At 46.1% G+C, this 26,837-nt stretch overlaps 1 protein-coding gene across 29 annotated transcripts in view; it reads left to right on the forward strand.

The window, feature by feature from the left end:
• The window catches only part of SPTAN1 (spectrin alpha, non-erythrocytic 1), an 81,076-nt gene that overhangs the window by 28,317 nt on the left and 25,922 nt on the right, over window positions 1–26,837 (forward strand). For 16 of the 29 annotated variants that reach the window (NM_001375318.1, NM_001375312.2, NM_001375311.2 and 13 more), the window contains 22 exons: window positions 19–156; window positions 879–989; window positions 1,576–1,653; window positions 1,791–1,946; window positions 2,174–2,378; window positions 2,885–3,066; window positions 3,379–3,622; window positions 3,818–3,940; window positions 4,845–5,062; window positions 6,703–6,795; window positions 7,906–8,040; window positions 10,574–10,722; window positions 12,080–12,139; window positions 13,272–13,470; window positions 17,497–17,601; window positions 18,060–18,083; window positions 19,177–19,212; window positions 22,640–22,687; window positions 23,423–23,514; window positions 24,131–24,275; window positions 24,393–24,574; window positions 26,701–26,800. In NM_001375318.1, the coding sequence (NP_001362247.1) occupies window positions 19–156; window positions 879–989; window positions 1,576–1,653; window positions 1,791–1,946; window positions 2,174–2,378; window positions 2,885–3,066; window positions 3,379–3,622; window positions 3,818–3,940; window positions 4,845–5,062; window positions 6,703–6,795; window positions 7,906–8,040; window positions 10,574–10,722; window positions 12,080–12,139; window positions 13,272–13,470; window positions 17,497–17,601; window positions 18,060–18,083; window positions 19,177–19,212; window positions 22,640–22,687; window positions 23,423–23,514; window positions 24,131–24,275; window positions 24,393–24,574; window positions 26,701–26,800 (2,823 nt within the window). The remainder of the gene's footprint in view (window positions 1–18; window positions 157–878; window positions 990–1,575; window positions 1,654–1,790; window positions 1,947–2,173; window positions 2,379–2,884; window positions 3,067–3,378; window positions 3,623–3,817; window positions 3,941–4,844; window positions 5,063–6,702; window positions 6,796–7,905; window positions 8,041–10,573; window positions 10,723–12,079; window positions 12,140–13,271; window positions 13,471–17,496; window positions 17,602–18,059; window positions 18,084–19,176; window positions 19,213–22,639; window positions 22,688–23,422; window positions 23,515–24,130; window positions 24,276–24,392; window positions 24,575–26,700; window positions 26,801–26,837) is intronic. The other 13 variants (NM_001375314.2, XM_047423786.1, XM_047423794.1 and 10 more) reach the window with 1 other exon arrangement.

A 26,837-nucleotide genomic window follows, 5' to 3' on the forward strand; every position in this document is an offset into this window, starting at 1 on the left:
GTCTCCTATGCCCCCAAGCTGACCGTCCTTTCCGAGGAGAGAGCGGCGCTGCTGGAGCTGTGGGAGCTGCGCAGGCAGCAGTACGAGCAGTGCATGGACCTGCAGCTCTTCTACCGGGACACTGAGCAGGTGGACAACTGGATGAGCAAGCAGGAGGTAATCTGTGAGCAAAGCCTTGCCAGTGGTGGGAGAAGAAGGGCCTGTGTTTTGCCTCCTCGGGTAGTGTGCTTGTTTTGTTTTAGGACATCAGTACCATGTTAGTTCTGAATCCATTGAAGAGGGGGAATTGAGCAAGCTTCTCTCAGCTCTGCCAGCATCTCTCCCTGCTGAGATTGCAAGGCCTTCAGAAAAGGCCCCAGCTTTTCAGATTAGTGTGATGTAAAATGTTTTATTAAAGAGATTTTTTTCTTAGAACTTAGCATTGCTGGGTGCAGTGGCTCCCTGCTGTAATCCCAGCACTTTGGGAGGCTGAGATGGGAGTATCCCTTGAGCCCAGGAGCTCAAGGCTGCAGCAAGCTATGATCGTACCACCGCACTCTAGCCTGTGCAACAGACCGAGATCCTGTCTCACAAAAAAAAAAAAAACAAACAAAAAAAACAAACCTTAGCATTATGTAACATCTGAATCTAATAGAAGCAACAAAAACTATGTAAGAGAAGTTTCAATAGAATGTGGAATAGGATTTCATGATATGGCTGGATTGATTTTAAGAAAATCCAAAAGGACTTTAGACTTCCTAGAAGAGATCTTAGAAGTTTAGCAGCCATAAAATCTCTTTCCTTCTTTTTATATTTTGGCCAAAATACCCTTTGCTTCACAGTCTTAGAAGATCAAAGGAATAGGACATTATTCTGAACACTTTGTTTCCTTTGGCAAGGCGTTCCTGTTGAATGAAGACTTGGGAGATTCCTTGGATAGTGTGGAAGCGCTTCTTAAGAAGCACGAAGACTTTGAGAAATCCCTTAGTGCCCAGGAGGAAAAGATTACAGTAAGACCCCTTCTTGTCAGTGCTTTCAAATGACCCTTATAGTAAGCCAGAGTCTTTTTCCCTGGAAGGATTCCAAACAGATTTGATGAAAGATTCATATGCAGAGTACTCCTGTGGGTGCTTAAACTTTCACAAGGATGACATGCTATCTCGTTGAAGACATAATACAACTTTATGGAAAAATGATTTACTTAATGGAAACCTCCAAACTTCTTTAAGTTTGTACCCTTCATTAAAAGTAGGTCAGGGTTAATATTAAGAGGTACTCTTCCCATTGAAAATACATCTTAGAAATAAGAATTTGGAAAGCTGTTAACCTGTGTTTGACCCCTGCCAGGAGATCGTGCCACAACTAATGTCTCCAGTCTTGAATGGAGGTAGTGCAGTCTTATGATATCTGACTGGTGACATCAAGCAAAATCTCAAAAGTTATGAGAAAAAATGTCATCACCAACCTTTGGGTGAAAACCTTGACCTATGTTAAAGTTTGGTGTGTTTTATGATCTGTTCAGCAGTTACTTTTCTCCAGAGGCCAAGCTTGGGACTAGTGTGCTTACCAATGAAGAACTCTTATCTTCCTTCCTAGGCATTAGATGAATTTGCAACCAAGCTAATTCAGAACAACCACTATGCAATGGAAGATGTGGCCACTCGCCGAGATGCTGTAAGTTTGTAGGTTCTTCATGCTCCTCCTTTTTGGTACATGAATGTCTCTTCTAAGATGTTCCAGTTAAGTCTCTTCAACTGGATATCCCTTTGGGAGTGAACACTAGAGACTCACAGGGGATCCTTGTCTTTCAGCTGTTGAGCCGCCGCAATGCCCTTCACGAGAGAGCCATGCGTCGCCGGGCCCAGCTAGCCGATTCTTTCCATCTGCAGCAGTTTTTCCGTGATTCTGATGAGCTCAAGAGTTGGGTCAATGAGAAGATGAAAACTGCCACAGATGAAGCTTATAAAGTAATGTACTGTTAGTGTTGCCATGTAGCACTCGATTAGTAAGCTAAACACAGCTCTCACAAATAAATTGTAGCTAAAGGACGAAATAAGGGATTCCAGAAACCCCACTACTTAATGTAAGCCAACTGTTTTATACATTCCTCCATAAAGATAAGTATGAAGGTAGTGCAAGGGAACTTGACGTTCTCAGGTTCAAGATAGAAAGAACCCCCTTCTTTTATTCACAGGATCCATCCAACCTACAAGGAAAAGTACAGAAGCATCAGGCTTTTGAGGCTGAGCTCTCAGCAAACCAGAGCCGAATTGATGCCTTGGAGAAAGCTGGCCAAAAGCTGATTGATGTCAACCACTATGCCAAGGATGAAGTGGCAGCTCGTATGAATGAGGTGATCAGTTTGTGGAAGAAACTGCTAGAGGCCACTGAACTGAAAGGTAAGAGATGTTCCATTGAATTGTGACATGCATGTTTGGGGAACTAAATACCCCTTTCTATTAAGTATTTTAGGGACATATACCCCCCAAGAAAGGTGAGGTGGATGACTTTGGCGTTAGGGATAATTTCCTGTGTAGGAATTACTTGGCTTAAGTTCTTGATAATAATTTGGTAAATGTGGTCGAGCATACTGGTTGGTGAGGGAGTCTGAGTGAGAAGGAACTGAATTGGGCCTCATTGCTGAAAATCAAAGTTCAGCTGAGAGCCAAGGGCATTTACTAATTCTCCAGTGTCCTTATATCTCAAGGGGGTTAGAATGCTTCCAGTTCAACCTTGAGAAGGTAGAGCAGAGGCTGCAATTGATATTTTCTTTCTCTTTGTGACATAAGTGAAGGAATAAAATTCTGACCTGTATAGTCCTTCACTAAGATACTACTGTTCATGGGCAGTGTTGGCAGAAGGGTAATGCTAAGCAGTACAAAATTAAACTTGTTTTCTTCCATAGGAATAAAGCTTCGTGAAGCCAACCAGCAACAGCAATTTAATCGCAATGTTGAGGATATTGAATTGTGGCTATATGAAGTAGAAGGTCACTTGGCTTCGGATGATTACGGCAAAGATCTTACCAATGTGCAGAACCTCCAGAAGAAACATGCACTGCTAGAGGCAGATGTGGCTGCTCACCAGGTAGTGTGAACTGGGGGCTGTGGTTGGGCAAGTGAATGCAGAAACTATAGGAGGGAGGAAAAGCCAGTAATTTGAGACTAAATGAATTTTGGGAGGGATGAAATGTGTTGATTTTCTTAGATCGCTCTGTGCTGCATGTGCTTCTGCTCAAATTAAATATCATCCCTTAGAGCTTTCTAGGAGCCCCAGATGAAGGAAGGAGATAGCAGAAAGAATCCTCTCAGGAATGGAAAAAAGACCTTATCAATTTTTCTCTGTATACGATAAAACCACACCCAAAGTAAAGTCTGCTCTGTCCTTTTGCATTCCCAGGACCGAATTGATGGCATCACCATTCAGGCCCGCCAGTTCCAAGATGCTGGCCATTTTGATGCAGAAAACATCAAGAAGAAACAGGAAGCCCTCGTGGCTCGCTATGAGGCACTCAAGGAGCCCATGGTTGCCCGGAAGCAGAAGCTGGCCGATTCTCTGCGGTTGCAGCAGCTCTTCCGGGATGTTGAGGATGAGGAGACGTGGATTCGAGAGAAAGAGCCCATTGCCGCATCTACCAACAGAGGTCAGTCTGCTTCCCTCAGGTAGGAATCAACTTGGGAAAGGCTGTGCTATTGTAGCATAAAGGGGATGCATGTCAGGATGGGCAGGGTCGAATTTAAATTATTGAACTGGAACCATGGTGGTAGCTAAGAATGACAAATCAGTGCTGACTTTTCTCTTCATGGTTGGATAACTGGGGACTGGTGTCTGCTTTCAGGTAAGGATTTAATTGGGGTCCAGAATCTGCTAAAGAAACATCAAGCCTTACAAGCAGAAATTGCTGGACATGAACCACGCATCAAAGCAGTTACACAGAAGGGGAATGCCATGGTGGAGGAAGGTGAGTGATTGGTATCAGTGACATGGCTTGGTGCTGCTCCTCGTGTCTCCCCTTCTTGCCGAGGGCATGGCCACGTGGGCATCACAAACCAGGCTCTGGGGCTGAATACCATCCCCATTCTTTCCTAACTGTATGACCTGACCAGACCTTACCCTTTCTGAGCCTGAATTTCTTTTTTTTTTTTTTTTTGAGACGGGGTCTCACTCTGTCACCCAGGGTGGAGTGCAGTGGCGCGGTCTCAGCTCAGTGGAACCTCTGCTTCCCTAGTTCAAGCAGTTCTCCTGTCTCAGCCTCCCAAGTAGCTGGGACTACAGGGACACACCACCATACCCAGCTAATTTTTGTATTTTTATTTTTGTATTTTTAATAGAGACAGGGTTTCACCATATTGGTCAGGCTGGTCTTGAACTCCTGACCTCAGGTGATCCACCTACCTCGGCCTCCCAAAGTGCTGGGATTACAGCCATGAGCCACCGCGCCTGGCTCCGAGCCTGAATTTCTTATCTGTGAAACGGGGATGACAGCACCTCTCCTGACACTGTAGTGGGGAGTAAGTGAAACCAAGTAGGAAAAGAGCTGATAGAGTGCCTGCACGTGCCAGTCTCAGTAACTGAGCGCTACAGTGGTACTGTTACTAGTCTTTATGATACTATCACTAATGCCAACTTGCGATATCTGCTTCTTAGAGTCTAGATAGAGGTCATGGTTTGAGGAGGCAAAAAATGAAACAGTCCATTAGAGGGTTAGAACCTGAGCCTCTCAAAAAAAATGGAATTATGAAAGGGCACAGCTCACCAAAACATAGTAATGAAAGTGCCGTGAACACACAGAGAAAACTTATTTTTGTCCTTCTGTGATGTGTCAACGTAGTTTTTGTTATCCTCTTTCCCTACCCATCTTCCAGGCCATTTTGCTGCAGAGGATGTGAAGGCCAAGCTTCACGAGCTGAACCAAAAGTGGGAGGCACTGAAAGCCAAAGCTTCCCAGCGTCGGCAGGACCTGGAGGACTCTCTGCAGGCCCAGCAGTACTTTGCTGATGCTAACGAGGCTGAATCCTGGATGCGGGAGAAGGAACCCATTGTGGGCAGCACTGACTATGGCAAGGACGAAGACTCTGCTGAGGTAACCAGGCGTGGGAAGCGTCTCACCTGCCAGGGAAGTGGAACAGGGCTTGTACTGAGAAGGAAGTTAGGAGAAGTAGTGATGCGCGGGAGGTGTGCATTACAGTGATTGTTTTTTAAAATGTTTTGGAATCCATTTTTCACTTGGTTTTTTTTTTTTTTTTTTTTTTTTTGGAGACAGAGTCTCACTCTTGCCCAGGCTGGACTGCAATGTTACAATTGTGGCTCACTGCAGCCTCAAACTCCTGGGCTCAAGCGATCCTCCTGCCTCAGCCTCCCAAGTAGTTGGAACTATAGGCAGGTACCACTACCTGCCTAGCTACGCTTTTTAATTTTAATTTTATTTTTAGTAGAGACAGGGTCTCGCTATGTTGTCCCATCTGGTTTCAAACTCCTGGCCTCAAACAATCCTCCTGCCAAAGCCTCCCAAAATGCTAGGATGATAGGAATGAACCACCCCTTCTGGCCCATTTTTCACTTTTTATTATGAAAATGTAATCATACCTAAAGGAGAGAGAAGATGACTTCTCACTCACCTTCAACCGTTAACATTTGTCACTCTTGTTTCATCTATGTGAAACCATATGTGTGCTTACATACATACTAACATACCAACATGCACACATACATATATACATACCTACAAACATACCAGCATACACATGTACATACCAGTGCGCACATATACCCACATACCAACATGCACACATACATACATAGATGTACTTGGTTTTTTACTGGTTATCTGTTTTTTGACTAAAATTCTCAAATTTTATTCATAAAGGTCTAGGTATAGTTCCTGTACCTAGCTCTTACCACTCTTCACAAAAACTAGAATGAGTTGAATTTTTCCTTTTCTTTTTTTTTTTCTGAGACAGAGTCTCACTCTGTCATCCAGGTTGGAGTGCAGTGGCATGATCTCGGATAACTGCAACCTCCACCTCCTGGGTTCAAGCGATTCTTCTGCCTTGGCCTCCTAAGTAGCTGGGATTACAGGCGCCCGCCACCACGCCCAGCTAACTTTTTTTGTATTTTTAGGAGAGATGGGGTTTCACCACATTGGCCAGTTTGGTCTTGAACTCCTGACCTCAAGTGATCTGCCTGCCTCAGCCTCGCAAAGTCCTGGGATTACAGGCGTGAGGCACCGCGCTCGTTCTGTCGCTAGGGCTGGAGTACAGTGATGCAATCACGACTCCCTACAGCTTTGACCTCCTGTGCTCAGCAGTCTTCCTGCCTCAGTCCCCTGAGTAGCTTGGACTACAGGCACGCACCATCACATCTGGCTAATTTTTGTATTTTCTGTAGAGATGAGGTTTCAGTATGTTGCCCAGGCTGGTCTTGAACTCCTGGGCTCAAGCTGTCTGCCTGCCTCAGCCTCCCAAAGTGCTGGGATTACAGGCATAAGCCTCTGTGCCTAGACCAGGATGAGTAAGCTATAATCATAATATATATGATTGTCCCAAAAGATGAGAATCCTGAAAAACTTTGAAAATGATATTAGCACTGTAAGAAGGGCAGGAGGTGATTACGTCATTGTGCAACTGAGAAAGGCTGTTGAGGCAGGATGGCAGGTTGGCGAGGCAGTGGAGGATGGGAGGCTTCAGCCCCTGCACAGTGCTCCATGTGTGGTTTTGGTTTCAGGCTCTACTGAAGAAACACGAAGCTTTGATGTCAGATCTCAGTGCCTACGGCAGCAGCATCCAGGCTTTGCGAGAACAAGCACAGTCCTGCCGGGTAAACTTGTAACAGTTTATGGGTTACTGGAGGGAGGCCTTGAAGGACTCAGATACTGTCAGCAGGTGTTCCTATCATAGGCCCCATTTGACTCTGCTATTAACTCTTGTGACACAAAGATTTACAGAGTTTAAAATAAGATTTATTTATTTATTTATTTATTTAGAGACAGAGTCTCACTCCGTCGCCTAGGCTGGAGTGCAGTGGCACAACCTCGGCTCACTGCAACCTCCGCCTCCTGGGTTCAAGCGATTTTCCTGACTCAGCCTCCTGAGTAGGTGGGATTACAGGTGTTCACCACCATGCCCAGCTAAATTTTTTTTTTTTTTTTGAGATGGAGTCTTGCTAGAGTGCAGTGGCACTATCTTGGCTCACTGCAACCTCTGCCTCCCAGGTTGAAGCAATTACCCTGCCTCAGCCTCCTGAGTAGCTGGGATTACTGGCGCCCGCCACCACGCCCAGCTAATTTTTGTATTTTTAGTAGAGATGGGGTTTCACTATGTTGGCCGGGCTGGTCTTGAATTCCTGACCTCATGATCTGCCCGCCTTGGCCTCCCAAAGTGCTGGGATTATAGGTATGAGCACTGTGCCCGGCCCTACTTTAAAATGAGATTTTTTTTTTTTTTTTTTGAGATGGAGTTTCACTCTTGTTGCCCAGGTTGAAGTGCATTGGCCTGATCTTGGCTCACCGCAACCTCCGCCTCCCAGGTTCAAGTGATTCTCCTGACTCATCCTCCCGAGTAGCTGGGATTACAGGCACGCACCACCACGCCTGTCTAGTTTTGTATTTTTAGTAGAGATGGGGTTTCTCCATGTTGGTCAGGCTGGTCTCGAACCCCCGACCTCAGGTGATCTGCCTGCCTCAGCCTCCCAAAGTGCTGAGATTACACGTATGAGCCACCGTGCCCAGACAAAATGAGATTTTTTTTTTAAAGATACCAAAAATTTAAAGTTCTTGGATCAGATTTTATTGGTAGCTTCAGTGAAGAATTCTCATGAGTGTATATTTGGTACATTTGGTACAGCTGGTGGCATTTGAATCTGCTCTGTACTTAGATGACTCAGCGCGGACGTGTTTTTACCATGTTTGCCCTTCCTTTGGATTTTTAGCAACAAGTGGCCCCCACGGATGATGAGACTGGGAAGGAGCTGGTCTTGGCTCTCTACGACTATCAGGAGAAGAGTCCCCGAGAGGTCACCATGAAGAAGGGAGATATCCTTACCTTACTCAACAGCACCAACAAGGCAAGGCACAGAGAGTGGCTGTGTGTTTGTTCCACGCTGGCACCTCCACGTATGCTCAGTTGGGTTTCTGTGGGTTGCATGTCTCCCTGAAATGAGAAGGCTTAGAATTCAAAGACATGAGTTTCCTCACCAATCCCCCACGTGACATACATTTATGCAGTACTGTGTATGACCAAGAAGTTAATCTGTCTTCTTGAATACCTGCAAGAAGCATAGATAATCACACTCAGAAGGATAGCTTATTTTCACCATTGAGTGTCTCTAGGTGGAATTTTTGTCCTGTCAAGCCAAAGTTTGCTTTCTGTATAACTTGGACCTGTTGGTTCTTTTTTTTTCTTTTTCTTTTCTTTTTTTTTTTTTTTTGAGACAGAGTCTCGCTCTGTCACCCAGGCTAGAGTGCAGTGGCACGATTTCAGCTCACTGCAAGCTCCGCCTCCTGCGTTCACCCCATTCTCCTGCCTCAGCCTCCCGAGTAGCTGGGACTACAGGCGCCCACCACTGCACCTGGCTAATTTTTTGTATTTTTAGTAGAGATGGGGTTTCACCGTGGTCTCTATCTCCTGACCTCGTGATCCACCCACCTCAGCCTCCCAAAGTGCTGGGATTACAGGCATGAGCCGCCGTGCCCGGCCTTTTTTTTTTTTTTTTTTGAGACAATGTCTTGCTCTGTCGTCCAGGTTGCAGTGCAGTGGCATGATCTCAGCTCACTACAAGCTCCACCTCCCAGGTTCACGCCATTCTCCTGCCTCAGCCTCCCGAGCAGCTGGGACTACAGGTGCCTGCCACCACGCCCGGCTAATTTTTTGTATTTTTAGTAGAGACGGGGTTTCACCGTGTTAGCCAGGATGGTCTCGATCTCCTGACCTCGTGATCCACCCGCCTCAGCCTCCCAAAGTGCTGAGATTACAGGCATGAGCCACCGCGCCTGGCCGACCTGTTGGTTCTTACTCCAGACTACAAGCTACATCTCAGCCCAGCAGATCATTGAAGACAGCTGTGACCTCACCCCACAGGCTTTGTCTTCTTTAGGCTAAATAATGACAATAATAAATCCATCCTGGTCCACCAGCCTTTCTTCCCTAACACACTCTGAATTGACAGTGGTGTTGAAGCATGCACAGATTGACTGATCCTGAAAGAGGCCTGCCTTCTGTTTTAGTTAAGGCTGGAGAAATGTCCTTGGCCATTTTTAAGAGCAAGTTTATTCCCATTCCCACACCTTATTTATCCTTGTCATGATAATTTGAGGAAACCTGTGATTCTTATCTTTCTATTGAGTCTAATTTAAACCTAAACCAACTTGTGGTCTAACTTTGGTTTATTCAAGAGCAGCATTGCCCAGTAGAACTTTCTGTGATGGTGGAAATGTAAGTGTCTGTGCTGCTTCTGCAGTAACTACTAGCTACGTGTGATAGTAAGCCCTTAAAATATGGCTAGTACAACTGGGTGTTTTATTTAATTAAATTATAACTCGATGAAGCCGGGCATGGTGGCTCACGCCTGTAGTCCCAGCACTTTGGGAGGCCGAGACAGGAGGATCGCTTGAGCCCAGGAGTTCGAGACCAACCTGGGGCACATAGCGAGACCTCATCTCTATTTATATTAAAAAAGAAAAAAAAAAAAAAGGGCCAGGCGTGGTGGTTCACGCCTATAATATCAGCGCTTTGGGAGGCTGAGGTGGGTGGATCATGTGGTCAGGAGATTGAGACCATCCTGGCCAACATGGTGAAACCCCGTCTCTACTAAAATACAAAAAAATTAGCTGTGCGTGGTGGCGTGCACCTGTAGTCCCAGCTACTTGGGAGGCTGAGGCAGGGGAATCACTTAAACCCAGGAGGCAGAGGTTGCAATGAGCCAAGATCGTGCCACTGCACTCCAGCCTGGCAACAGAGCAAGACTCTGTCTCCAATAAAAAAGAGTTCTAACTCAATGAAAGTTAAGTGGGCACATGTGACTGGTGGCTACAGTGTTAGCACAGCTCTGGAGCATCTAAGCAGAGAGAAGGCCAGCCTTGGTGGCAGGCGGCATTGCTCTTCTGCCTGTGACCCTCTGCAGGTATGGCAGGTGAGGAAGGGACTGAATTATCAGACCTTATAGAAAGTGATTTTAATATCATTTTGGACCTTTTTTTTTTATGAGACAGAGTCTCGCTCTGACGCCCAGGCTGGAGTGCAGTGGCGCAATCTCAGCTCACTGCAAGCTCTGCCTCCTGGGTTCATGCCATTCTCCTGCATCAGCCTCCCGAGTAGCTGGGGCTACAGGTGCCCACCACCATGTCCAGCTAATTTTTTTTGTATCTTTTTTAGTAGAGACGGGGTTTCACTGTGTTGGCCAGGATGGTCTCCATCTCCTGACCTCGTAATCCACCCGCCTCGGTCTCCCAAAGTGCTGGGATTATAGGTGTGAGCCACTGTGGCCGGCCGTTTTGGACCTCTTAAAACAACGCTCTCGTGTGTGTGTATACACGTGACCTCCTTGGATTCTCCCTCTCAGAGAAGGAATTTACTTTCAGTTCTCCCTCTTTTTTCCTTAGGATTGGTGGAAAGTGGAAGTGAACGATCGTCAGGGTTTTGTGCCGGCTGCGTACGTGAAGAAATTGGACCCCGCCCAGTCAGCCTCCCGGGAGAATCTCCTGGAGGAGCAAGGCAGCATAGCACTGCGGCAGGAGCAGATTGACAATCAGTAAGGATGACACTGGGGGCCGCAAGGGCTAGGCGTCCCATAGGCATACTCTGTTCCACATGGGCCGAAGCTTAGGCGTGTCCTGAGGCTCCTGGAGCCCACCTGCACGCCTCCTGCTGTCTCCACCCCACTTTGAGCCCACAGACCTCCCTGTGTGGGTCTCAGACCCCTGACTGATGACTTATATTGCTTTGTTTTTTTTCCACCAGTGTTCATGAGTTTTTCCTAACCAGAATTTTTCTAATCATTGCCATTTGCCTTTTGGTTCGAGATGCTTTTTGAAATTGGATTTTCAGATACTCTACGCCCCTACAGCTCTGTCCACTTTGAAAAGCTGCTTTCAGAGCTTCTCTGTCTGCCATAGCTTTGAGTTCTGAGAATGGAATTTTGTAATGAAATGGCTCTGTCCTCTTTCCTCTAGCTGAGCCCCCATATTGCCCTGTGTCCCTCCTTTAGGGTATTTCTGACTCCACTAGTGGAATCAGCAGTTTTGGACACTTGGGAAATATCCAGGAAATACATTCCCACTAGAGTTTGGGTAGAATAGTGAAATTTTTGGGCTCCAGTGATCCTCAGTAAGATCAGAGTTATTTGTCCACTTTATAGATTCTGTTACTATAGAGATAAGAATGGGAGGTTTTGGTTTGTGTTCTTTTTTTTTTTTTTTGAGACAGATTCTCGCTCTGTCATCCAGACTGGAGTGCAGTGGTGTGATCTTGGCTTACTGCAACCTCTGCCTCCTGGGTTCAAGTGATTCTCCTGCCTCAGCCTCCCAAGTAGCTGGGACTGCTGGCACATGCCACCATGCCCAGCTAATTTTTGTATTTTTAGTAGAGATGGGGTTTCACTGTGTTGGCCAGGCTGGTCTCAAACTCCTGACCTCGTGATCCGCCCGCCTTGGCCTCCCAGAGTGCTGGGATTACAGGCGTGAGCCACCACGCCTGGCCTTGGTTTGTATTCTTACCAGTAGTCTGGGTCATAAATATAAGAGGAAAAAGATCAAATACGTGGCTAAATTGCCTGTTAGCACTCAGTAAAATTTCTTTCTAAGGGTAGTCCAGTCTGTTCCCTGACCTTGCTCTGTGAAGTTACCAGTGTTTTCAGCACAGGAAAATCTGCCTTAAGCATGGCAGACCCGCCAGGAAAATGAAGGTGAACTAACCCTCTAATTTTCCTGCTATTTCTTTACTGTCATGTCACTCATGACTTAGACTGCTCCTTAGACCTGTTGAATAACTCCATAGTTTCCCAACATTAAGCATCCACCATCATGGCACCAGTCGGAGCTGCTGCCTTTCATCCCTGTGGATTAACCCCACTAATTCGTGCATGCTTTTGCTGTGCCCCCTCTGTGCAGGACACGCATAACTAAGGAGGCCGGCAGTGTATCTCTGCGTATGAAGCAGGTGGAAGAACTGTGAGTAGGCTGAGAGTCTTGCAGAGCACCAATGTCCACTGCTACCCTATCCATTCTCCCTCTGCCGCTTCTCTTGAAGGCCTTTGTCCATCCAGAAAGATGAGGTGGTGGGAGGAACTGCCTGTCCGTGCAGCAGCTTTGGCTCACAAGGGAAGAGGTCGCGGTGCAGCTGTGTCGGTCGATGACTGCTTATCTCATTGGTTGCTTCCATGTGCAGCTGTGTGTTCAGAGTGGTGTTGGTTCTCCCTCCTGTTGGTTTTTGTGGTGGACCAGCCACTATCAGCAGCAAACCTGAAGGCCTGTTCTATAGTTTTCCTTAGTAGGAAGGAAATCATATGCTTCTCTTAAAGTGCTCTGATTCTTGGTAACTCATTGCTTTTTTATTTTACTTTGGGACACTTAGATTTGATGATGATTCTAGTTTTTTTTAATTTTTAGTTTTTTATTGTTTGTTGTTTTCGTGTTCAAAGATAATATTTCAGCCTTTTGTATTTTAGTTCCCGAGGGTTAGAATATTCTTTGATTCTTAAGAAATCTTTCAAGTAACAGAATGGCACAGATACTCAGTACTGTGCCTGATTTTCCTTCTGAACTTGCCAAAACTTTCTGAGAGCTGAATGTATCATTTTAGAAATGTCCTACTAATATGGAGATAAAACATCCTATATGAGGATATTTTAAAGCTCAGTGTACCCTCCCCCACCTCACCCCAGCCTGGGGGCTCTTCAGAGAATTATAAAAGACAGAAAAACCCTCTGTATACATTCTGCCCAGCAAGTTCATCTCGTCTCTCCACTGTAGTTGCATGAGCCCTGTGTTACTGTGCTAAGCGCTTGGTTTCAGTCCCTTGTGGTTGTGTTGTTCTAAGTGCAGAATCGGCCTGGGGATAAGTGTGCCTGGCTGTTCTAGCCACCTGGTTGTGAACAGTACAGTGTGCGCATATCTCTCAGGCTGTGGCGTGGGTACTTGGGATCCTCGTCTTCATCTGATAACTCTGTTACTAGGGCATCATCATTACAAACTCGTAGCCTGGAATCCACATCTTGGAGACACCTCGTGGTTTGCCTTTATGTTAGCATCTACAGCTAACTGCCTTCCTTGTCCCTCTTGTCACCCTCTTGAATTCCATCAGATATCATTCTCTGCTGGAACTGGGTGAGAAGCGTAAAGGCATGTTGGAGAAGAGTTGCAAGAAGTTTATGTTGTTCCGTGAAGCGAATGAACTACAGCAATGGATCAATGAGAAGGAAGCCGCTCTGACAAGTGAGGAGGTCGGAGCAGACTTGGAGCAGGTTGAGGTGCTCCAGAAGAAGTTTGATGACTTCCAGAAGGTATGGGCAGTCTTCAGGCTCAGCTGAAAATTTGTTTAAAGATTTGAGTCTCTTGATTTTTTTTTTTTTTTTTTTTTGAGATGGATTCTCACTGTCATCCAAGCTGGAGTGCAGTGGTATGACTTCGGCTCACTGCAACCTCTGCCTCCTGGGTTCAAGTGGTTCTCCTGCCTCAGCATCCTGAGTTGCTGGGATTACAGATGTGCGTCACCACGCCCTGCTAATTTTTGTATTTTTTGGTAGAGACAGGTTTTCACCATGTTGGCCAGACTGGTCTCAAACTCCTGACCTCAGGTGATCCACCCGCCTCAGGCTCCCAAAGTACTGGGATTATAGGCATGAGCTTCTGCGCCTGGCCAGAGTCTCTTGATTTCTGACTGCAAATTACTGGAATGCAAATTACATAGATTATATTCCATCATGTATGTAGCTTTTTTTTTTTTTTTTTTTCAATTTTTTTTTTTTTCCTTTTGAGACAGAGTCTCTCTTTTGTCGCCCAGGCTGGAGTGCAATGGTGCGATCTCGGCTCACTGCAACTCCTCCTCCCAGGTTCAAGCAGTTCTGTCTCAGCCTCCCGAGTAGCTCACCACCACGCCTGGCTAGTTTTTGTATTTTTAGTAGAGATGAGGTTTCACCATATTGGTCAGGCTGGTCTCAAACTGCTGACCTCAGGTGATCCGCCTGCCTCAGCCTCCCAAAGTACTGGGATAACAGGCGTAAGCCACCGTGCCCGGCCTCAGTTTTTTTTTTGTTCAAGACAGAGTCTCACTCTATCACCCAGGCTAGAGTACAGTGGCTCGATCTCAGCTCACTGCAACTTCTGCCTCCCAGGCTCAAGTGATTCTCATGCCTCAGCCACCCGAGTAGCTGGGATTACAGGTACGCACGACCACATCTGGCAAATTTTTGTATTTTTAGTACAACCGGGATTTTGCCATGTTGGCCAGCCTGGTCTTGAACTCCTGGCCTCAAGTGATCTGCCCACCTCAGCTTCCCAAGGTGCTGGGATTACAGGCATGAGCTACCATGCCTGGCCTGTGTAGCTATTTTTAAAAGACTTTAATTGAAACCTTTTTGGACAAATTTAGTTTTAAGGAAAGATATGCTATGTTCTCTACATGTTGTTATAAGAACTTTTCTAAGCCTAAACTACAATAGATGTGAAAGTACTCTTTTTTTTTTAATTGGGGTAAATTCACAAAGCTAGCCATTTTAAACTGTACAATTCAGTGGTATTTAGTACATTCACAGTGTTGTGCAACCACCACCTCTAGTTCCGAAACATTTGTGTCACTTCAGAAGAAAACCACATATCCGTCAAGCATTCATTTGCCATTCTCCCTAACCCCAGTGGCCCACGCAGCCACTCATCTGCTGCTTGCCTCCAGATTTACCTATTCTGGACATTTATATAAATGGAATCACGTTATGTCACTTTTTGTGACTGGCTTCTTTTGTTTAGGTTTTCTTTCTTTTATTTATTTATTTTTTGAGACAAGGTGTTCTGTTGCCCAGGCTGGAGTGCAGTGGCCCAGTCTCGGCTTACTGCAGCCTCCGCTTCCTGGGCTCAAGTGATCCTCCTGCCTCAGCCTCCTGAGTAGCTGGGATTATAGGTATGCACCACTATGCTCAGCTAATTTTTGTATTTTTTGTAGAGACAAGGTTTTGCCATGTTGCCCAGTCTGGTCTCAAACTCCTGAGCTCAGGCCGTCTGCCCAGCTTGCCCTCCCAAAGTGCTGGGATTACAGGTGTGAGCCACCGCACCCGGCCCATAATGTTTTCCAGGTTCATCCTTTTTGTAGCACATACCAGTACTCCATTCCTTTTTATTGCTGAATAATATTTCACTGTTTGATACACTACACATTGTTTTTGGGTTTTTTTGTTTTGTTCGTTTTTTTTGTTTGTTTGTTTGTTTTTCGAGACAGAGTCTCTCTCTGTTGCCCAGGCTGGAGTGCAGTGGCGCAATCTCGGCTCACTGCAACCTCCACCTCCCAGGTTCACGCCATTCTCCTGCCTCAGCCTCCCGAGTAGCTGGGACTACAGGCACCCGCCACCACGCCCGGCTAATTTTTTGTATTTTTAGTAGAGATGGGGTTTCACCGTGTTAGCCAGGATGGTCTTGATCTCCTGACCTCGTGATCCACCCGCCTCGGTCTCCCAAAGTGCTGGGATTACAGGCGTGAGCCACCACGCCCGGCCTAATATACTACACATTGTTTATCCATTCCACCACTTAAAAGGATTCTTACAACAAATTAAAATGAGGAGGGAGAACTTATTTCTCCTATAGTAACTGTGCATTAAAATTTTATCTCGTTTTTATTTATTTTTTAGAGATAGGGTCTCACTCTCTCACACAGGGTAGAGGGCAGTGGATGATCATAGCTCACTGTAACCTCAAACTCCTGTGCTCAAGTGATCCTCCCACCTCAGCCACCCGAGTGGCTGGGACTATGCACATAGGCTACCACATCCATTATTATAATTGAAAAAATTTTTCTGGCCGGGCCCAGTGGCGCATGCCTGTAATCCCAGCACTTTGGGAGGCCGAGGCAGGCAGATCACCTAAGGTCAGGAGTTCGAGACTAGCCTGGCCAACATGGCAAAACCCCATCTCTGCTGAAAATACAAAAATTAGCTGGGCGTGGTAGCGCCTGCCTGTAGACCCAGCTACTCGGTACACTGAGGCATGAAGATCGCTTGAACCCGGGAGGCGGAGGTTGCAGTGAGCCATGATCACGCCACTGCACTCCAGTCTGGGCAATAGAGTGAGACTGAGTCTCATTAGAGAAAAAAAAGAAAAAAAATTTTTCTGTAGAGATAGGGGTCTGGTTATGTTGCCCTAAGCTGGTCTTGAACTTAAGCAATCCTCCTGCTTTGGCCTCCCATAGTCCTGGGATTAAAGGTGTGAGCCACCACACCTGGCCTCATCACATTTTTAAAACATTATTTTAAAACCAAAAAGAGGTTTTAAAAAAGTCTCTATTTGATAAAATTATTTGCTGGGCATAGTGGTGTGTGCCTATAGTCCAAGCTACTCAGAAGATTGAGGTAGGAGGATTGCTTGAGCCTGGGAGGTAGAGACTGCAGTGATCCATGATTGTAATACTCCACTCCAGCGTGGGTGACAGTGAGACCCCGTCTCCAAAAAAGACAAAAAACTACAGTTAATGAAGTAAATTTGAGTCCAATAATTATCTGAGGACTGGGAAAACCAATCCATAGGGATACCTGTTGAACAGATCCTTATAGCTTTTTTTGTTTGTTTTGTTTTGTTTTTGTTTTGTTTTGAGACAGAGTCTTGCTCTGTTGCCCAGGATGGAGTGCAGTGGCACGATTTTGGCTCACTGTAACCTCTGCCGCACCCCGGTTCAAGCGATTCTCCTGCCTCAACCTCCCGAACAGCTGGGATTACAGGCGCCTGCCACCGCGCCTAGCTAATTTTTGTATTTTTAGTAGAGACGGGGTTTCACCATATTGGCCCGGCTGGTCTTGGACTCCTGACCTCGTGATCCACCCATCTCGGCCTCCCAAAGTGCTGGGATTACAGGCGTGAGCCACCGCACCCGGCCTGTTTTGTTTTGTTTTTGAGATGGAGTTTCGCTCTTGTTGCACAGGCTGGAGTGCAATGGCGCAATCTCAGCTCACCGCAACCTCTGCCTACCGGGTTCAAGCGATTCTCCTGCCTCAGCCTCCCGAGTAGCTGGGATTACAGGCATGGACCCCCACACCCAGCTAATTTTGTATTTTCAGTAGGGACAGGGTTTCTCCATGTTGGTTAGGTTGGTCTCGAACTCCCGACCTCAGGTGATCCGCCCACTTGGGCCTCCCAAAGTGCTGGGATTACAGGCGTGAGCCACCATGCCCCCAGCCATAGCTTATTTTTTTAATCCCCCCCTTTTTTTTTTTTGGTAGGCCTCTGTAGAAGAATCCTTATAGTTTCAAGCCATAGTTTGTGACTATGTCTCCTTTGACTTTGGCTTGCTATTTTGGGTTTTAGTTATTATGGCTTTTGCTTTAAAGGACCTGAAGGCCAATGAGTCACGGTTGAAGGACATTAACAAGGTAGCTGAAGACCTGGAGTCTGAAGGTCTCATGGCAGAGGAGGTGCAGGCTGTGCAACAACAGGTAGGTGTCTCCATCTTGGAGTGAGGCTCTGTTGCTGTAAGGATGCAGCTTTGTTCCTCTTGTGTCTGTCATAGCCCAACAAGCAGTGTTTCATAACACAGAACTGTGGCTTGGCTGTAGGTCAGGTCCTCTATGTGACCAAAACCATTTTGATTAACTTCTTTATACCCATATCCCTCACTTTCACTTGGTTTGGAGGGGGGTGGGGGCTTCTGTCTTCTCCGTAAGCTCATTAAATATTTAATGTTTATATAGCCATTAACTAATGGTAATTTCATAAGTTCCTCAAAGAAAAAGTTTATATATAAATACTTGAAGCTCTGCTGGACATTTGGACTGGCATTTCCATTTGTCCTTTTGGAATTATCTCCTGTGTTTCCAGGTTTGGCCATAATAAGTATTCTTGAGAGATGTGTATTTCTTCTAATAATAAAACTGGTTTCTCTCTCTCCTTGTAGGAAGTGTATGGCATGATGCCCAGGGTAAGTTTCGGGTGCTGTGTGTGGATCTTGAACATGAGAAGGACTTAAATCTTGGGAAGAATATCAAGCCAAGAACTTCTTCATCAGAATTGCTGTTCCTGAACCTCAGATGCCTTTTGTGTGTAAAGATTTGTGGAAAACTCCAAAAATTGATTTCTTTTTTTTTGAGACGGAGTCTCACTCTGTCAACCAGGCTGGAGTGCAGTGGTGTGATCTTGGCTCACTGCAACCTCCACCTCCCAGGTTCAAGCGATTCTCCCATCTCAGCTTCCTGAGTAGCTGGAATTCCACGCATGTGGCACCACACCCAGCTAATTTTTGTATTTTTAGTAGAGATGGGGTTTCACCATGTTGTCCAGGCTGGTCTCGAACTCCCAACCTCAGGTGATCTGCCCACCTCAGCTTCCCAGAGTGCTGGGATTACAGACGTGAGCCACCATGCCCAGCCCAGAAATTGATTTCTATTTGCCATTCTCCAAAAGACAAAAAAAGTTGGTTTTTTTTTTTTTCGGTCTTTTGTTTGTTTGTTTGTTTTTTAAGAGATAGGGTCTTGCTTTGTTGCCCAGACTGGAGGTCAGTGGCTTTTCACAGCTGCAGTTATAGCCTACTGCAGCCTCGAACTCTTGGCCTCAAGCAATCCTCCCACCTCAGCCTCCCAGGTATCTAGGACAACAGGCATGCAACACAAAGCACAGCTCTAAAAAAAAAAAAAAAAAAAAAGTCTTCTGTCTCTTCAGTTTTCTAAAACTTTTTCTATAGCTATCTTTAGGTTCATTTATTACCCCTTTGCAGACAATCTTATGAGTACAACATAAAAGTTGGTGGTTTTCTTATTAAATTTCTTTATTCTCTCCATTTCTTCTACTGGATAAAAAAATTGGAATTTTTCTCTCCCCTGTTTGTTGGCTTAATTTTTCTTAACCAGCCTTGTAGTTTGTTACCAGCCAAACTATGGAGGGAAAATGCTGTTTTGGTTAATGTATTAGTATCTGGGATCTCCCCTGGGGGAAACTAGAGTCATTCGCTGGAAAGGCCAGGTGCTTTGTTTCATGGTCAATTGCTTGGCTGCCTAAATTCCTCTTTCTTTGAATAGGATGAAACTGATTCCAAGACAGCCTCCCCGTGGAAGGTAAGAACTCCTTTGCAAATTATTGTTTTCAAGAGTTTTGCGAGATCATGAAATATGTCCTTTTCTGGTGTGCCTTTCTCTGAATATTCAGCTTAAGTCTTTAGTCATTTCTGGACTTGTTTGGGCTGGTTTCTTTCTGAATCTGTTAACTCTAAAATGTGATGCTTAATATACAAAAGCAGAGTGTCTGTCAAATGCTCAGTACAGTTAGGTTGCATTGATTACCCATGTTGGTGCAGGATATGCTGCAGCAGGGAGCACTGTTGTTGGCAGGGTCCCACCAGTAAGAGGCGGTCCAAAGGGAAATGATGTGAACACGAGAACAACTACACATGTAAAGGAGGGCAGGCCTTCATTCACCATCTGCCTGGCCTCTTTATCCTGTGGCCTAAGAAAGGCTTCAGAGATGCCCAATACAGAGATGTAAAGGGAGGAATGAGATGTTTCCCCACTACAGTAGACATTTTTCTGGACAAATCTGGGTGTGAATATGGCTTAACCAGAATGGGCCATCCCTGACCAAGAATACAGGGAGAAGGTGTGTTTTTTTGTTTTGTTTTGTTTTGAGATGGAGTATTGCCCTGTCACCCAGGCTGGAGTGCAGTGGCACAATCTCGGCTCACTGCAACCTCCGCCTCCCCAGTTCGAGCAATTCTCCTGCCTCAGCCTCCCAAGTAGCTGGGACTACAGGCATGTGCCACCATGCCTGGCAAATTTTTGTATTTTTAGTAGAGACAGGGTTTCGCCATGTTGGCCAGGGTGGTCTTTAACTCCTGACCTCAGGTGATCTGCCTGCCTCAGCCTTCCAAAGTGTTGGGATTACAGGCCTGAGTCACAGCACACAGCCAGGGAGAAAGTCTTTTTTTTTTTTTTTTTTTTTTTTTTTGAGACGGAGTCTCGCTCTGTTGCCCAGGCTGGAGTGCAGTGGCACGATCTCAGCTCACTGCAACCTCTGCTTCCCAGATTCAAGCGATCCTCCTTCCTCAGCTCCCCTAGTAGCTGGGGTTACAGGCATGCACCACCATGCCTCCTAATTTTTGTATGTTCAGAAGAGATAGGGTTTCCCTGTGTTAGCCAGGCTGGTCTCAAACTCCTGACCTCGGGTGATCCACCTGCCTCGGCCTCCCAAAGTGTTGGGATTACTGGCCCGGCTGAGGTTTTTTATGTGATACATTTATAACTGTGATTGTGTAACTGGTTGCCTGTGTAACTGGTTGCCTGTGTCTCAGTTCTAGCATCTTCCCTCCTGACCCAGCTCTTCAGGAATACATCACTTGAGTTACAGGCAAGTTAGACAGCAGATTCTGACTTTATAAAAGTAGATCTTTTGGCTAGGTGTTGTGGCTCACACCTGTAATCCCAGCATTGTGGGAGGCTGCCACAGGTGGATGAGCCCAGGAACTGGAGACCAGCCTGGGCAACATGGCAAAACCCCGGCTCTACAAATAAAAATAAAAATGTTTTAAAAAGAAGAAGAAAAAAAGTAGGCCTTCTCCTCATTAGTACAGTGGTGAGTTTGACAAGCAAATAAAAAACAAAAAGTAAAAAGAAATTTTAAAAGTGTGTCCCCAGAAATATGAAGAAAGCATGAAAAGCTAAAAACAAAAAGCCTCCCCTCAACAACCTTTCCGTGTCCACCTTTGAACCCGCTCAGTCACCTTGTCTGACCTCTCCTGAGGACCTAGGCTGAGAGGGGTCTGTGTCTTGTGGCCTCCTTCCCCCACTGGCTCTGACTATTCTCCTCATTAAGTAGATTTCTAACTGGGCCAGGCATGGGTATACACCTTTCCTTCTATTCAACTTTCTCTCCTTTTCTCACTCTTCCCTTTTCTTACGTAGCAAAACTTGGTCATTGATGATATGAATGGGCAACAGCCTTACCCCCTCAACAGAATGTTTCTGATAACATAAGTATTCTTTCAGAAATTTATTTTAGGTACCTTTATAAATCCCAGTACCTCTTATTGGAGACAGTGGGTCCACCTTCTGACTCCTATAAACACACGGGTTGAAAATGTCACCTAGGGATGCCATGAGGACATCTGCATCCAAGCTCAGCCCTCCTGCCCTCCTGTTTTTTTTTTTGTTTTTTTTGGGTTTTTTTTGTTTTTTTTTTTTTGAGACAGAGTCTTGCTCTTTCGCCCAGGCTGGAGTGCAGTAACGTGATCTCAGCTCACTGCAACCTCTGCCTCCTGGGTTCAAGCAATTCTCCCACCTCAGCCTCCCGTGTAGCTAGGATTACAGGCACCCGCCACCATGCCTGGCTAATTTTTATATTTTTAGTAGAGACGGGGTTTCGCCAAGTTGGCCAGGCTGGTATTGATCTCCTAACCTCACCTGATCCACCCGCCTTGGCCTCCCAAAGTGCTGGGATTACAGGCGTGAGCCATCATGCCCTTCCTCTTGTTCTTTACTCAAAGGGTTGTGAGCATTATAACCTAGGCCAATTAGAGTTTCTTTCCAATGAATTGGGTGGGCTGAAAGATCCTAAGGGACTTTATTTATTTGTTTTTATTTGTATTTTATTTATTTATTTTCGAGTCGGAGTCTTGCTCCGTTGCCCAGGCTGGAGTGCAGTGGCGCAATCTCAGCTCACTGCAACCTCTGCCTCCCAGGTTCAAGCGATTCTCATGCCTCAGCCTCCCAAGTAGCTAGGATTACAGGCTCACACCACCGTGCCCAGCTAATTTTTGTATTTTTAGTGGAGACGGGGTTTCACCATGTTGGTCAGGCTGGTCTCAAACTCCTGACCTCAGGTGATCCACCCACTTTGGTCCCCCAAAGTGCTGGGATTACAGGCGTGAGCCAGCATGCCTAGCCCTAAGGGACTTTAGGTTTTTAGAAGTAGCTACGTTGTTGAAATGTACGTTGTTGAAATGTACGTTGTTGAAATGTACGTTGTTGAAAGCTAATTCACTGCTTTATTTTTTCCCTCTGGTAAAGCCGTTGCCCTTCAACGGGGATACGGTTAAAAAGAACAGCAACCCAGTAACTATAATTGGAGATGAAAGTGATTATTAGAGCTCCTGGCTGTTAAACAGTCTCAGCTGCCAGCATTTGTTAAATTTAGGGTTTTTTTTTTTCCGGAATGTTCTCCTGTAGTATAGACAAGAAAATGACACTAATCATTAGTCTTTTAGGTATTTTTCTGTCCAACTAGCTGCTAGAATTGTGGTTTTTACCATTCTTTTTTCACTCTTCATCAGATAAAATTAATTACTCAGTTGAGTCTAATTGTGCACTTTGGGTATTTTCATGACATTCTAGTACTTGACACTTGTACTGATGTCTCTGTTAAGAATGTTGACAGTATCCCTTTAAGGTAATTTGGGTTAATCACAGGGACCTAATCAATGACACTTGCAGCTCAGATCTCTAATTGCCAGACACTTGATTAGTTTTGCCTTCTGCTTTCCTCCCTACCTAGTCTGCTCGTCTGATGGTTCACACCGTGGCCACCTTTAATTCCATCAAGGTAAGAAGCAGTGACCAGCTCCTCTGATCTCCCCTGGTTTTCTCCACTATCTTCCTTCCCTGTCTACAGCAGAGCTCTTGTTCTTGTCAACCGGGTGACCTGTGACATATCTCACTCTATTGGGTCCAAGCATGTCCTAAGTAAACATCAGCACATTCATGGCCGCTGGGTAGCTTGGTGGCTTTCCTGGTCAAGAGCCTGCCAGTTCTCAACAGTGGAGCAAGCCTTCCCTCTGATTTCCAGTAGGGCAGGGAGCTGGAAGGAGCACAGTCTCAGTAATGCAGTGAGCGGCTTCCTTGCCGCCTGCAGTGCGAGGTCCTGTGGCGTGTCGGCTCTTCCCAGGCCTGCTCTGGCCTGAGAGTCTGCTGATTGGGTGTTGGGAGGCAGCAGACTCGCTGGGATTTCTCCACGCAGCTGTGACTTAGGAAGCAGTTGCTACCTGCCAGGCCCCAGGCTAGGAGGTGAGAGTAAGGAAAAGTCAGCTGTGTCTCTCCTGCTGCCTCAGAGAGGATGCCTAGGTCAGGTGTTTGTGGGTGTTGAAGCTGTCAAGCACAGCTAGTTTTGGCTTGGCTCTTACTGGAATATTGTATACTAATTTATTCAGCGAGGAAGGTTGGAAACAGGAAATTATATATGCCCTAGCATCTCCTTCAAACAAAGTCATTTTCCCAAAGTCTGACTGGGGGCATGACAGGAGAGGGAGTGCAGTGGAGCTGATGTTTTGCTGTCCTGCAGGAGCTGAATGAGCGCTGGCGGTCCCTACAGCAGCTGGCCGAGGAACGGAGCCAGCTCTTGGGCAGCGCCCATGAAGTACAGAGGTTCCACAGGTGAGGGGTCAGCCCTGGGCTGGGAGAGGGAGAAACAGGTGACTGCTGGTTTCCTGACAGCCCCCAAGCTTGCTGACTGAGATCCTAGAGCAACTGCTGGCTCTTACTGATGTTTATTTGTGACATGGGGTGGGTGCTCAGTAAATCCTGCTAAGTGAATTATTTGGCTTTTTAGAGTTATTGGTGGTAGCCACAGACAAATATACAAATGTCAGCTAAATAAATTTTTTTAGGCTGGGCGTGGTGGCTCATGCCTGTAATCCCAGCACTTTGGGAGGCCAAGGCAGGCAGATCACCTGAGGTCAGGAGTTCAAGACCAGCCTGGCCAACATGGGGAAACCCACCTCTACTAAAAATAAAAAAATTAGCTGGGCATGGTGGTGGGCGCCTGTAATCCTAGCTACTTGGGAGGTTGAGGCAGGAGAATCACTTGAACCCGGTGGGGGCGGAGGTTGCAGTGAGCTGAGATTGTGCATTGTGCTCCAGCCTGGGTGACAAGAATGAAACTCCATCTCAGTAAATAAATAAATAAATAAATAAATAAATTTTTTTTAGTGTCCTGTAATCAAGGCAGTTGTACTTGGCATTTCTTAACCTGAATGTGTCTCGCCTTTAGAGATGCTGATGAAACCAAAGAATGGATTGAAGAGAAGAATCAAGCTCTAAACACAGACAATTATGGACATGATCTCGCCAGTGTCCAGGCCCTGCAACGCAAGCATGAGGGCTTCGAGAGGGACCTTGCGGCTCTCGGTGACAAGGTGAGAGGACCCAAAGTCATCTTCTGTCTGGCATTTTTGCCCCAGAAAGAGCAGAGTCTTCTGTTCTGCAGAGCATACCCCCTTACTGCAAGCTCATTCACCACTTTCTTCCCATAGGTAAACTCCCTTGGTGAAACAGCAGAGCGCCTGATCCAGTCCCATCCCGAGTCAGCAGAAGACCTGCAGGAAAAGTGCACAGAGTTAAACCAGGCCTGGAGCAGCCTGGGGAAACGTGCAGATCAGCGCAAGGCAAAGTTGGGTGACTCCCACGACCTGCAGCGCTTCCTTAGCGATTTCCGGTACGGAGCCATGTTCACTCAGACTTCTGGAACATAGAGCCTTCTTTGTAGGGGTCATTTTTATTGTGAAAATAGTACATGCTCAGCAGGGTACAATGGCTCACACCTATAATCCAAGCACTTTGGGGGGCCAAGGCAAGCGAATTGCTTGAACTCAGGAGCCGGAGACCAGCCTGGGCTACATGGCGAAACCCTATTTCTATTATAAAATTTTAATTTAAAAATCAAAAACGGCCAGGCACAGTGGCTCACGTCTATAACCCCAGCACTTTGGTAGGCCAAGGCGGGCAGATCACCTGAGGTCAAGAGTTCAAGACCAGCCTGGCCAACATGGCGAAATGCCGTCTCTACCAAAAGTACAAAAATTAGCCAGGTGTGGTGGCAGGCATCTGTAATCCCAGCTACTCAGGAGGCTGAGGCAGGAGAATCGCTTGAACCTGGGAGGCGGAGGTTGCAGTGAGCCAAGATCGTGCCACTGCACTCCAGCCCGGGCAACAAGAGTGAAACTCCATCTCAAAAAAAAAAAAAAATTAAAAACAGAAAAAAGTAGTACATAATCAATGTAAAATAGTCAAACTACTGAATGCCATATTGTTAAAAATAAGTCTCTGCAGCCGGGCACGGTGGCTCACGCCTGTAATCCCAGCACTTTGGGAAGTCAAAGCAGGTGGATCACGAGGTCAGGAATTCAGGACCAGCCTGGCCAATATGGTGAAACCCCATCTCTACTAAAAATACAAACCAGCCGGGCGTGGTGGCACACTGGCACACACCTGTAATTCCAGCTACTCGGGAGGCTGAGGCAGGAGAATCATTTGAACCTGGAGGCGGAGGTTGCAGTGAGCCGAGATCGCACCACCGTACTCTAGCCTGGGCGATGGAGCAAGACTCTGCCTCAAAAAAAAAAAAAAAAAACAAGTCTCTACTTTCCTATCCAAGTATGGGCATACTCCCTCTCATCTCCTTGCCATATGACATTATATTTTTCCCTAGACATATATATATATATATTTTTTTTTTGGGGGGGGAAGCGTTTCGCTTTTGTGCCCAGGCTGGAGTGCAGTGGTGCGATCTCAGCTCACCGCAACCTCCGCCTCCTGGGTTCAAGCGATTCTCCTGCCTCAGCCTCCCAAGTAGCTGGGATCACAGGCATGCACCACCAAGCCCGGCTAATTTTGTATTTTTTTTAGTAGAGGCGGGGTTTCTCCATGTTGGTCAGGCTGGTCTCGAACTCCTGACCTCAGGTGATCCACCCACCTCGGCCTCCCAAAGTGCTGGGATTACAGGCGTGAGCCACTGCGCCTGGTTGTCTTTTTCTTCTTTTTATTGAGGTAAAAGCCACGTAACATACAATTAACTACTTTAAAATGTGCAATCCAATGACATTTAATGTATTCACGGTGTTGTGCAGCCACCCCTCTCTAGTTTTGGAACATTTTCATTGCCCTAGAATAACATTCCTTAACTAATCACCCCCTCTTCTCTCTTCCCCACCCACTAGGAATCCTTTATCTGCTTTCTATGTCTATGGATTTGCCTCTTCTGGACATGTCATATAAAAGGAATCATACCATATCTGACCTTACACACTCAGTTTTGTGCCCTTGTGGTTGTACAGCTGTGAGAAACTGGATCAAATGTATGCCCAGGCCTAGGGCTTCAAGGGTTAATCCTAAAGAAAGGCTTTTTCTTTTTTTTCTTTTTTTTTTAGAGACAGGGTTGCACCACATTGCCCAAACTGATCTTGAATTCCTGAGCTCAAGCGATCCTCCTGCCTCAGCCTCCCAAAGTGCTGGGATTACAGGCATGAGCCACCACGCCTGGCCAACAAAAGCTTTTTCATTTGAAGCTATCAAAGACTTAATTGTAGCTAGAACTTGTTATTCTGGAGGGTGAAAAGATCTTAATTATAAGCCTACTGACTTTTCCTCTGAGAAATTCGGACTTTTAAAAAAATAACAAGAAGTTTTTTAACACTTTGCCCAAAGACCTAGCCTCATTCAGTAGATCAGATTAACCCAAGATAACTTTCTGAGGCAAGAATTATGTCATTCTCTGTTTTCCTGGGCAGAAGATCTCCTTACCAGGTAATATAATAGCTATTTTTCTGGGGTGCTGGTTTCCAGGGACCTCATGTCTTGGATCAATGGAATACGGGGGTTGGTGTCCTCAGATGAGCTAGCCAAGGATGTCACCGGAGCTGAGGCATTGCTGGAGCGACACCAGGTGGGTGGACCTGCCTGCTGAGTAGCAAAGACGTGGC

The sequence above is a fragment of the Homo sapiens genome, chromosome 9 (assembly GCF_000001405.40).
Source record: "Homo sapiens chromosome 9, GRCh38.p14 Primary Assembly".
NCBI lineage: Eukaryota > Metazoa > Chordata > Mammalia > Primates > Hominidae > Homo > Homo sapiens.